The following is a 12,315-nucleotide window of genomic DNA, read 5'->3' on the forward strand; positions in this document are numbered from 1 at the left end:
TGTGGTGGTGGTGCATGCTTGGAATCCTAACTACTTGCGAGGCTGAGGTGGGAGAATTGCTTGAGCCCAGGAGTTTGAGGCTGCAGTGAGCTATGATCACGGCCTCGCACTCCAGTCTAGGCAGCAGTGAGACCCTAGAGAATTCTCTAAAAGAATTAAAAATGAAAAAAAGCCACAACACTTCTTTTGCCTGAGGATTCTGTAAGAAGCAGTTTTTATTGTTATGGAAATAGCCACTCTGATTAAGAAACTGTAGAGAGGAGAAAGAAAATGAAAATTGAAGATTCTCTTGCCCATTGAATTAAGGGTAAGGAGATTGCATTAAAGGATCTTCGGGAGCAGTAACTTTTTTATGTCGATTTCACATAGCATTACTTCACATCGAGTCAGTTTTAAGTACTTGGAGGGTGGAAATCAGAAAGCTTAGATGTAGAGGAAGCTTTATTAGAAGTGTGTACCATGGCTGGGTGTGGTGGCTCATGCCCACAATCCCAGCACTTTGGGAGGCCGAAGTGGGTGGCTTACTTGAGGTTAGGAGTTCGAGACCAGCCTGGCGAACATGGTGAAACCCCGTCTACTAAAAATACAACAATTAGCCAGGCATGGTGGCGCACGCCTGTAATCCCAGCTACTTGAGAAGCTGAGGCATGAGAATTGCCTCCAGGAAGTGGAGGTTGCAGTGAGCTGAGATCATGCCACTGTACTCTAGCCTGGGCAACAGAGCAAGACTGTCTCAAAAGGAAAAAAAAAAAAAGTATGTACCATTGAAGATCAGCACTTGGATTGTGGAGACAGACCTGGCCTTAGGATCTAGGCTATCCCCTGGTTAGACGTGTGGCCACAGGCTGTTCCTTCACCTGAGCGTCACTCGGATGAGGCACTAGCAGATGCACATTGCATTGTTTGACCTTAATGACCTTTCTCTGGAGTCAGGTAAGTACCCAGAACAGTTCATCATGGTAGGGAGGAGGAGGTGGCACAGCTGATGACACAGCCCTCAGGAATCTAGCCTGAAAAGCACCTTGTGGGGTCTGGGGCCAGGAGCAAGGGACAGCTTGATGCTGTCCATCACTAACTGGAATCCCAGCTGGAAAAAACTCATTACAGGACCAGAATCTCCAGGAAAACTCAATCCCAAACCAGGCATCACTTCAATTACACCCCTGACTGGAGTTTACAAACTGGTGGGTGGATGGTAGAAGATGGCTGCTTTCTTGGGGGGTATGCTAGACCTCACTTGCCCTCTGCACAACAGAATTTGGATGCACTGGGAGGTGTGGCAGATAGACTCCCAGGTGGTCACTGTGATCCCCACCTGCTGTTCACAGCCTTATGTACTCCCTGCCCCTTGAGATGGCCTAGACCTGTGACTGCTAACCAGTAGAGTGCCACAAAGGTGACAAGATGTTATTTTCATGGTTGCCTTATGTAAGACTGCAACATCTGCCTTGCTGAGAAATTCTCTTGCTGGCTTTGAAGAAGGAAGCTGTCATGTTGTGTGAGCTGCCCTTGGGAGAGGGTCAGGTGGCTAGGAACTGAGGTAGCCTCTGACAGCCAACAAGAAACTGAAGCTCAGTCCAGCAGTCTGCAAGAAAGCAAATGCTGCCAGCAACCACACAAGCTTGGAGGCTGATCACTCCCAGGTAAGCCTTCAGGTGAGACCCCAGGCCTGACCAACACTGACTGCAGCCTTGCAGAGGACCAGCTAAGCTGTGCCCAGACTGTCCCATAGGAACAGATGGTAAATGTATTGTGTTAAGTCGCTAAGTTTCTGGTAAGGTTATGCAGCAATAGATAACCAACACAAAGGTTAGCAAAGTGTGTTTGAGGTGGGAATCAGTGTGGAAAAGAGAGAATCTGGATAGACTTAATAGCTGTAGGGCCTTGGGAGGTCCCTTATGATGCTCCTTTGGGCCTTCCTGTTGCCTTTAAGTAATGCTTATTGTTTATTGCTAAAGTAATGCTTAACTCTCTGCTAGGCACTATTCTATGCACTTATAAAACTCATTGCATCATCTCTACAACCCCATGAGGTAAGGACTTGTTTTTTTTGTGTTTTGAGACAGTCTCGCTCTGTGGCCCAGGCTGGAATGCAGTGGCATGATCTCAGCTCACTGCAACCTCTGCCTCCTGCGTTCAAGCAGTTCTTCTGCCTCAGCCTCCGAGTAGTTGTGATTACAGACGTGTGCCAGTACTTCCGGCTAATTTTTTTGATTTTTAGTAGAGACGGGGTTTCATCATGTTGGCCAGGCTGGTCTCAAATTCCTGACCTCAAGTGATCAGCCTGCCTTGGCCTCCTAAAATGCTGGGATTACAAGTGTGAGCCACCGCACCTGGCCAGTAAGTACTTGTTTTAGTCTATTTGGGACTATGACAGAATAACATAGCCTGGGTAGTTTATAAACAAAAGAAATTTTTTGCTCACAGTTCTGGAGGCTGGGAAGTCCAAGGCACCAGCAGATTCGGTGTCTGGTGAGGCCGTCTTTTTGCTGTAACCTCACATGGTAGAAGGGGCAATAGAGTACTCTGGGGACTTTTTTTTTTTTTTTTTTTTTTTTTTAAGAGATGGAGTCTTGCTATATTGACCAGGCTGATCTCAAACTCCTGGCCTCAAGTGATCCTCCTGCTTTGGCCGCCCAAAGTGCTGGGCTTAAAGGCATGAGCCACCACATGGGAATGGCACTGCCTTTTTTTTTTTTAAAGATAGTTTTGCTCTTATTGCCCAGGCTGGAGTGTGATCTTGGCTCACTATAACCTCTGCCTGTTGGGTTCAAGCAATTCTCCTGCCTTAGCCTCCCAAGTAGCTGGGACTACAGGCACATGCCACCACGCCCAGCTAATTTTTGTATTTTTAGTCAAGATGGTGTTTTGCCTTATTGGCCAGGCTGGTCTCAAACTCCTGACCTCATGATCCACCTGCCTCAGCCTCCCAAAGTGCTGGGATTATAGGCGTGAGCCACCACACCTGGCTGGGGCTTCCTTATAAGGGCAATACTGTTTGTGAGGGCTCTACGCTTATGACATAATTACCTTCCAAAGAACTCACCTCCAAATACCATCATACTAGGGGTTAGGTTTCAGTATGAATTTGGAGGTGGGGGTGGACACAAATGTTTATAGCAGTACTCATCCCTGTTTCGAAAATGAGAAATGCAGAGAAATTATATAATTTGTTCAAAGTCACATGGTTGGTAAGTGGCAGAGCTGGGATTTGAACCCAGGCAGTCTGGCTCCAGCATCCATGCTTTTAGTCAGGGTGGCTACTTCTTTGGAGCAGTGCTCCCTGCAAAGCCTGGCACATAAGACCCCCTTAATATATGAAAAGTCCCATTCCCTCCACATGGCTTACGAAAGCCGTGGCAAGTAGGAATGACAGGCGAAGGGTGGGGCTTTATTCCATTGGTGATTGAAAGCTACTGAAATGCATCATGGGCACACAGTAGGTGCTTAATAGTTGTCGATTTCTATGAGCTGGGAGTGAGAAAGATACCATGCTCTGTGGACTGAGTGGACTGGAGTAGGGAAAAGACCAATTTTTCCTCACCGCAGCTTGAATGTAGACAGATACTGTTTTTTTTTTTTTTTCTTTTTTTTTTTTTTTTTTTTTTAGCCAACCATACAAAGCCTGTAAGTAGGTACTTTATTTATTTGTATTTTTATTTTTTTTTGAGACAGATTTTCACTCTTGTTGCCCAGGCTAGAGTGCAATGGTGCAATCTTAGCTCACTGCAACCTCCACCTCCCAGGTTTAAGCGATTCTCCTGCCTCAGCCTCCCAAGTAGCTGGGATTACAGGCTTCCGCCACCATGCCTGGCTAATTTTTGTATTTTTAGTAGAGACAAGGTTTCATCCTGTTGGCCAGGCTGGTCTCAAACTCCTGACCTCAGGTGATCCGCCTACCTCAGCCTCCCAAAGTGCTGGGATTACAGGCATGAGCCACCACACCCGCCCAAAATGACCTGCATTTGTCATCTCCGCTTCTGTGGTCAGGAATCTGGTGCAGCTCAGCTGGGTCACAGGCCTCTCACAGGCTGCAGTCAAGGTGTCAGTCGAGGCCGCACTGTCATCTTAAGGCCCAGCAGGGAAAGCGTTTGCTTCCAAGCTCGCTCACGTGGTTTTGGGCATGATTCTGTTCCTCGTGGCTGTTGGACAGAGGTCACTCTCATTTTCTTTCCACGTAGGCCTCTGCATAGTTCACATCTTTGCAGTTGCTTCATTGAAGCCAGCAAACGTGATTGTGGCAAGATAGCAGTCATAGTTTTAATTCCAGAAATGATCCCATCCCTTGGCTGGGTCTTCAGAGTAGAAGTCACAAGTCCTGTCCGCACTAAGTGGAGGGTGTGGATACCAGGAGGCAAGGATCATTGAGAGCCATCTTAGAAGTCTACCTGGCCGGGGTGCAGTGGCTCACGCCTGTAATCCCAGCACTCTGAGAGGCTGAGGTGGGCCGATCACGAGGCCAACAGATGAAGACCATCCGGGCCAACAAGGTGAAACCCCGCCTCTTCTAAAAATTAGCTGGGCGTGGTGGAATGCGCCTGTAGTCCCAGCTACTCGGGGGGCTGAGGCAGGAGAATCACTTGAACCCAGGAGGCAGAGGTTGCAGTGAGCCGAGATTGTGCCACTGCACTCCAGCCTGGCAACAAAGCAAGACTTCGTCTCAAAACAAGTCTACCTGTGTATTAGCTTGCTAGGGCTGCTGTAACAAGTGACCACACACTGGGTGCTTTAAACCACCTGAATGTATTTATTCTCTCCCAGTTCTAGAGGCTGGACATCTGAAATCAAGATGCCAGTAGGGCCATGCTCCTTCCAGAGGGTCTAGGCCAGAATCCTTGCCACTTCAGGCTTCTGGTGGCCCCGAGCATTCCTTGGTGTGTGGCAGCATCACGCCAATCTCTGCCTCCTCCCTGTGTTTCCATGTGTGTCCTCTCCTTTCCTTATTAGGATGCCCATCATTGGATTTAGGCCCCACCCTAAATCCAGGAGGATATTATCTGCAAATGCCCTATTTCCAAATAAGATCACATTCACAGGTGTCGGGGGTTAGGACTTGAACATACTTTTTTGGGAGACACAGTTCACCCACTATGTCTACCTGCTACAAGGCCCATCAGTAAGGGATGGATTATATAAATTTAGGCATATCTGGTGGAATACTAGATCTCTGGGGAAAACAATGAAAAAGAAGCTCTTTATATATTGATAAGGGATAAGGGATGGTCCCCAAACTATCAAGGACAGGTAGCAAGGTACAGAACAAAGTGTATATATAATATGTTCTCTTTGGCATTAAAAAAATGGGAAGGGAGGCCGGGTGTGGTGGCACACGCCTGTAGTCCTAGCTACTAGAGAGGCTGAGGCAGGAGAATCGCTTGAACTTGGGAGGCTGAGGTTGCAGTGAGCTGAGATTGTGCCACTGCACTCCCGCAAGGGTGACAGAGCAAGATTCCATCTCAAAAAATAAATAAATAAAAAGGCCGAGTATGGAGGTCACACCTGTAATCCCAGCACTTTGGGAGGCTGAGGCAGGCAGATGACCTGAGGTCAGGAGTTCTAGACCAGTCTGGCCAACATGGTGAAACCCCATCTCTACTAAAAATACAAAAATTAGCCAGGCATGATGGTGGGCACCTGTAATCATAGCTATCTGGGAGGCTGAGGCAGGAGAATTACTTGAACTTGAGAGGTGGAGGTTGCAGTAAGCCAAGATCATGCCATTGCACTCCAGCCTGGGCGACAAGAGGAAGACTTGATCTAAAATATCCCTGGAAGGAGTCACGGGAACAGCATCCCACAGATTGCCTACAGGGTGAGATTGGGAGACAGGAATATAAGAGATGCCTATTTTAACTTTATAATTTTCTGTACTATTTGAATTTTTTTTTTTTTTTTTTTTTTTAAAGTAGAGACAGGGCTCTCTTTTGCCCAGGCTGGTCTCGAACTCCAGGGCTCACGCCTGGCCCTATCTGAATTTTGAACCATGTAAATGTACCATCTTTTCAGAGAAAAATAAAATCTGGCTGGGCATAGTGGCTCACACCTGTGATTCCAGCACTTTGGGAGGCTGGGGTGGGCGGATTGCTTGAGCCCAGGGGTTCAAGACCAGCCTGGCCAACATGGCGAAACCCCATCTCTACCAAAAAAATGCAAAAGTTATCCGAACGTGTTGACACCCGCCTGTAGTTCCAGCTCTTTGAAAGGCTGAGGTAGGAGGAGCGCTTGAACTCAGGAGGTGAACTGATTGCTCTATCAAATGTGAACAGTGTGGAATCAGTCATCCTCATGGTGAGCCTCACCATTGTTTGTGAAAACAGCATTTCTTCCTCAGTTTGTGCGTGATTTATTTAACCCTTTTCAAGATGTTTTTGAAATAAGGTGGGTTTCATGGTTTTAGGATTATAACTGATGCTGCAATCTCTACCATAGTTGTACACATATCTTTGGTCACTCCTGCAGATATTTCTGTAGTGTAGAGAATGGGATGTGCCATTTTAAATTACAGCATTTATTTAATGCTTCTAATTTGAGTATATTCTGCAAATTTATCTTCCATGGGAACGGTAACAGATCATATTCCAATTTGTTTCCTAATTCTATCAATGTCCCTTTTGTCATTTACTTGCCAGCACAACAAACTTTCTACACATTGATGTATGATATTCCACTGAGGGGAGAGGCACCCTCCTGGCTTAACTGAAGGGGTGTACCACAGAAGGACATGGTGGACATCACACACAGATTCTGTGGCATAGGATGAACTGCTAAACTAGGATATTTTAAAGTCCTCCAACATCTGTAATTGTTTTCCGTGGTGAACAAGTGTCGTGTGTCTCAAGAAGACAGGCCACAGTGACCTCTTTGAAAGCTTTCTGTCAAGTCTCTTATCCAAGGGGAGCAAAATCACAAAGGTCCCAGGCGATTTTTTTTCCTCTTTCCTCTTTTCTTCATAAATCTTGGTTTTGCTTTTATTTGACGAAAACAATCTGATGCCTGTTCTCCCTTCTATACAATGGTAAATTAGCATGCAAGTAGCTATCCCTTTATTATTGTTTGATAGATTTTTGCAGCGGCTATGTCCGTAAAAATTAGCCCACCTGAGATATATCACTGGAGCCAACAGAACCCTGCACCCAACAGGCACCTTGTGCAGACCTGGACCCTTACAGCTGTTGGCTCATGTTCCTTTGGTTCTTCTAATGAATATCATGAGTAGAAACTGAGCTCTTTGGCTTTTACCCACTACCATGACTCTAGTACATTTTCTCTCTCTCGTTTCTCTCATTTTTGTATCATGATTTTCTGCCATCAGGGGCATCAGTGTGGGTTCCTGGTTTTGATGGTATGGAGTGAACTTCTGGGATCGTTTTATGACTGTATAACAGTTGGTATTCTTCTGTTGATGAAGATTTGTGTTGTACCCAGTTTTTCCTTAGTATAAAAAGGAGGTTAATAAGAACATTTTTGCTAGAAGCCTTGTTGGATGTATTGTTCATTTTACGGGGGTAATCAATAAATGTAAGCGTGCTTCTTTATCAGGTAGGCTTAACTCGATGAGAAACTGCCAATTACTAGAACAGCTGTTGGGCTAAGTTGCAGTCTAACATCACACAGCAATATCATACACACTCTGTATGAAGAAGCAGGAGAGGCAACAACTTTCATAATCAGTTTTTCTGTTTCCCTTCATTTTCTTGTGAACCCTTAATGGCATCTTTGAAGGTGACTGGTCACACCAAGTGTCACCACCAGCCTATTCGAGTCTTGCTGCAGAGCCATGGAGTTATATACCAGGACAGCCCTGCCAAGTCTCAGGCTCATAAACACCAGGCAGGAATAGATGCCTATGAAATGAGAAGGGTCAGGTGACCCCTCCCTCTCCTGCCATGTCTGTGCCTCTCTTTGCAGCTGCCGTGTCTCTAAAAACAATCATTCACACTTATTTTGTCAAAGATATATCAGACATTAGTCAAATCGATGAAAACCAATTTTATTCAGTAACTACTGACCGTAGAGGAAGGGGCTGGTTCTGTTCGCATTTGTGCAGAGGTGATGGCATTCTAATGGGAGAGAGAGGCAGGGGAGAGGGCAGGGGGCAGGGCACAAGTGAAACATTACAAAAGATTGGTCATTTTAAATGTCTGCCTCATCAGGACAGCTGTGTCTGCCAGCTGGCAATATTAGAAGTTAGGATTCTAACCTCCCACAGAGACTGGAAGACAGAGGCTCAGTCCTTCCTGAGAACTACACCTCAAAAGTATTGCCTTTCAGATCCTGGGCAAAGATACATTGAAGTCCCTAGGAGATACACACATATATCAAAGGGATGGAGGAAGGATTCCCTTCTTAGTAAGTGCTATAAGAAAGAAAGATCCTGAAACTGCCATCATCAAGTATTGGCTAGACTAAAGTAAGTTCCCCTGGCAGCCTTGAGCTTTCTTAGGTAGGCATTGTCATGGGAGCCTAGGGTCATTCGTGAGACATGGTCTCATGCTACTAGAAGCCATGATAGACTCTGATCATCTCTTAGCACAGAGGTTTAAACTCAGTCGTTTTGTGCTGAGTTTGGTGGTTCTCACTTTCTCTCTCCCCATTCCATTGTCAGGATTTTACTGGACTCTGTTAGATGGACAAGGCCATGGGCCATTTTCAATGGTTTTTAAGCAGCTGAGGCATATCTATTGAGAACTAAATTAAAATAAAACCATGAGATTGAGAGTGGGCCCCACAATAGGTATCCATTACCCATATTCAAGGAGATGGAGAAAAATATTTCTAGACTTTGTCAAAATGGAAAGTGACTTATGCAGCCAGGATGAAATTCAAACTTACATTACTGAAGTATAGAGCTTATTGATATTTTTTAAAAGAAAGTCATGGCAAAATGACAATCCACAAGTGGCAATGGTAGATAGGGGTAGGGAGAAACTCTGTAAGGTCAAAATTATCCTCACTTTAAATGAAACTCCTACATGTTGCTACTATAAGGGAACGGAAGCCAATGTTACGCTCGACTATACTAATTGTCATGGGATAAACAGGCAGGACATGATGCCACATTTATTAGTCACTTCTATTGATAGTATTTGTGAAAATTAATTTTTGTGTCAATTTGCCTGGGTCGGGGGTGCCCAGACATTTGGTTAGACATTATTTCTCACTGTGTCTTTGAGGGTGTTTCTGGAAGAGATTGACATTTGAATCAGTAAACTGAGTGAAGCAGATTGCCCTCCCGAGTGTGGGTGGGCCTCATCCAACCCATGGACGGCTTGAATAAGATGATGGGTTAAGAAAGGTTTCTGCTCCACTGTCTTTGAGCTGGGACATCAGTCTTCTGCCTTAAGCCTTGGACTTGGTCTTGAACTATATTCGACTCTCCTAGGTATAGAGCTTACTCAGAGTAGAACTTGGGCTTCTCTGCGTGCGTGCATGCGTGTGTGTGTGTGTGTGTGTGTGTGTGTGTGTGTGTGTATCTTGTCCTCTGGATAACTCAGACTAATACAGTATTATATGCCAGTTGCCGGGTTTTGTCTCTATGCTTTTGAAAGGTGTAAAATAAATAAATAAAATCCTGGAGGGTTCTCAAAGAAGAACAGTAAGGATTAGTAGAAGTTTTAAACTTCTAGGAAAACCCCTAAGCACAGCTTTTGTTAAAACTATCTTCAAGAAAATAAAGGGTTTTGGAAAATTATTGTTGCCTTAATGTTTTCTAAGCAAAGGCATGATCACTCAAGGAGAAATACACTTAGCTTTCTTAAAGTTAATTTTTACGTTTTAATAATTCACATACAATCTTAACTCAGAAAAAGAGAGGTCCCTTGTACGCCTTACTCCGTTTCCTCCAATGGTAACATCTTGGTAATATTTCCAAAATGGTAATATTTGCAAATAGTGGCCGGGCGTGGTGGCTCACACCTGTAATCCCAGCACTTTGGGAAGCTGAAGTGGGTGGATCATGAGGTCAGGAGATCGAGACCATCCTGGCTAACACAGTGAAACCCCGTCTCTACTAAAAATATAAAAAATTAGCTGGGTATGGTGGTGGGCACCTCTAGTCCCAGCTACTCAGGAGGCTGAGGCAGGAGAATGGTGCGAACCCAGGAGACGGAGGTTGCAGTGAGCCAAGATCGCGCCACTGCACTCCAGTCTGGGCGACAGAGGAAGACTCCGTCTCAGAAAAATGAATGAATGAATAAATAAATAAAATTTGCAAATATTGCAAATGCCACAGTACCAGGAGATTGACATTTATACAAGCAAGGTACAGAACATTTCCGTCAACACCGGGATTCATCATGTTGCCTTTTTATAGTTATGACCCCTTCTATTCAGTGCTGCTCCTCCTTCCCTCCTTAACCCCTGGCAACTACTAATCTATTCCCCACTCTTATAATTTATTCATTTCAAGAATGTTACTTAAATGGAATTCTACATGTAACCTTTGGGATTACCCTTCGTCCACTCACCATAATTCTGTGGAGATTCGTCCAGGTTATTGTGGGTATCAATCATTTGTTGTTTTTTTAAAAAAAATTACTGAGGACTATTTGATGCTGTGGATATATACCACAGTTTAACCATTCATCTCACAAAAGTCGTGTATACATTGTTTCCCCAGTTTTGGCTATTAAAAACAAGGCTGCTATAAACTTGAAGTACATGGGTTTTGTGTGAACATAAGATTCTATTTCTCTGTGATAAATGCAGGGAATGTAATTCCGAGGTGGTATGGTAGTTGCACATAGAGTTTTAAAAGTAAAAATTATACAGATATTCTCCAGAGTGGGCTGTAATCTTTTACATCCCCACCAGCAATGTATGAGTGATCCAGCTTTCTCTGAATCCTTGACAGCACTTGATGTGGTCACACTTTTATGTTGGCCATTCTGATAGGTACGTAGCAATTTCTCATTGTTTTAATTAGTAAATCACTAGTGGCTAATAATGTTCTGATTTCAACATATGAATTTGGGGGGGCTGGGCACAATGCATCCCATAACAATGTGTATTCTGGTGTGGTTGGGTGTTCTAAAATTGCCAATTTAAGTCCCGCTGGTTGATCGTGTTGTTGGGTTCTTCTGTATTCTTGCTGATTTTCTATCTGGTTGTTGTATAAATTGTTGAGAAAGGGGGACATTGAAGCATACAGCTGTATTTGTGGATTTGTCTAGTTCTCTGTTAAGTACTTTCAGTTGTTCTTGCGTAGACATTTATGAATTTGTCAGGCGAGGAGTTGGTGGATTGGTCCTTTGCACATTATATAGTCTCCCTCTCTGTCTCTGATTAGTTTATTTGTTCTGAAATATACTATATCTGGCATTAATATAGCCAGTCTTGCTTTCCTTTGGCTAAGGTTTGCATGATATATCTTTTCCCACCCTTTTCATTTCAACTTGCCTGTATCATCATATTTGAAGTTAGTCTCTTTGTAGCCAGTATGTAGTTGGTTCGTGTCCATTGACCTACTCTGCCAGCCTGTGTCTTGCAACTGGTATACTTAGGCCATTGATATTTAATGATATTGACATGGTAGGGCTTAAATCTGCCATTTTATTTTTCCTTTTCTGTTTGTTCTCCCTGGTTTCGTTTTCTGGATATGCTTTCTTTTTCTTACCTTCCTGTCATGACTTGAACATCTTTGAGAATGGTGTTTTGCCTTATCCATAGTGCTTTTGAGTATGTCTGTTTGTATAGCCCTCTTGGTTTTTCCAGACATTCGTATATCTGTGCATCTATATCTTAACCACACGGTATACTGGTGTCATTGTTTTACCAATTTGAGTGAATGATAGACGAGTTACCTCCCTTGTAGGTCTCTTTACCCTCCCAGTTTATAACCATTTCAAACATTTTCTTTATGGAGAGTTAGAACCACATTGAATGGTGCTATGATTTTTTTCTGAAACCGTCAAGCATAGTTTAGAAAACTCAAGAGGAGAAGGAAGGCCTATTTTGCTGTTTTCTTTCTTTCCGATGTCCCAAGGTTCCTTCTTTAATCATTTCCTTTCCGTCTAGAGAACTCCCCTTAGCCCTTCTTTTAGGGTAGAACTGCTGGTCAGAGATGTCCTTAGCTTTTCTTAATCTGAAACTGTTTTGATCTTCTCCTTAATCCCTGAAAGATGTTTCTGCTGGAGAGAGGAGTCTGGGCTGACAATTTTCTTCTGCGGCTTGAAAAGCACTGCACAACTTCTTTCTGCCTCCGTGGTTTCTGATGAGAAAGCCATCATCGTCGGAATTGTTTTTCCTTTCTAGGTAAGGTGTCACCTTTCTCTGTTGCTTTCAATATATTTTCTTTGTCTTTAGTTTCCAACATTT

General features: G+C 44.0%; 1 long non-coding RNA gene and 1 pseudogene across 3 annotated transcripts in view; one reads left to right on the top strand and one right to left on the bottom strand.

Annotated features, from left to right (window-relative positions):
- Window positions 1-7,534, top strand: LINC01772 (long intergenic non-protein coding RNA 1772). 2 transcript variants are annotated; one of them, NR_147210.1, is made up of 2 exons: window positions 1-2,340; window positions 6,630-7,534. It is a non-coding gene; the product is annotated as a long intergenic non-protein coding RNA 1772 (long non-coding RNA). The 2 variants fall into 2 exon arrangements; NR_147211.1 differs by having other exon boundaries at window positions 860-1,643.
- Window positions 6,489-12,315, bottom strand: part of CROCCP3 (CROCC pseudogene 3) — a 25,266-nt pseudogene continuing 19,439 nt past the window's right edge. The window contains exon 15 of the transcript NR_023386.1: window positions 6,489-9,180. The product of NR_023386.1 is annotated as a CROCC pseudogene 3 (transcript). The remainder of the gene's footprint in view (window positions 9,181-12,315) is intronic.

The sequence above is a fragment of the Homo sapiens genome, chromosome 1, assembly GCF_000001405.40.
Source record: "Homo sapiens chromosome 1, GRCh38.p14 Primary Assembly".
NCBI classification, from domain to species: domain Eukaryota; kingdom Metazoa; phylum Chordata; class Mammalia; order Primates; family Hominidae; genus Homo; species Homo sapiens.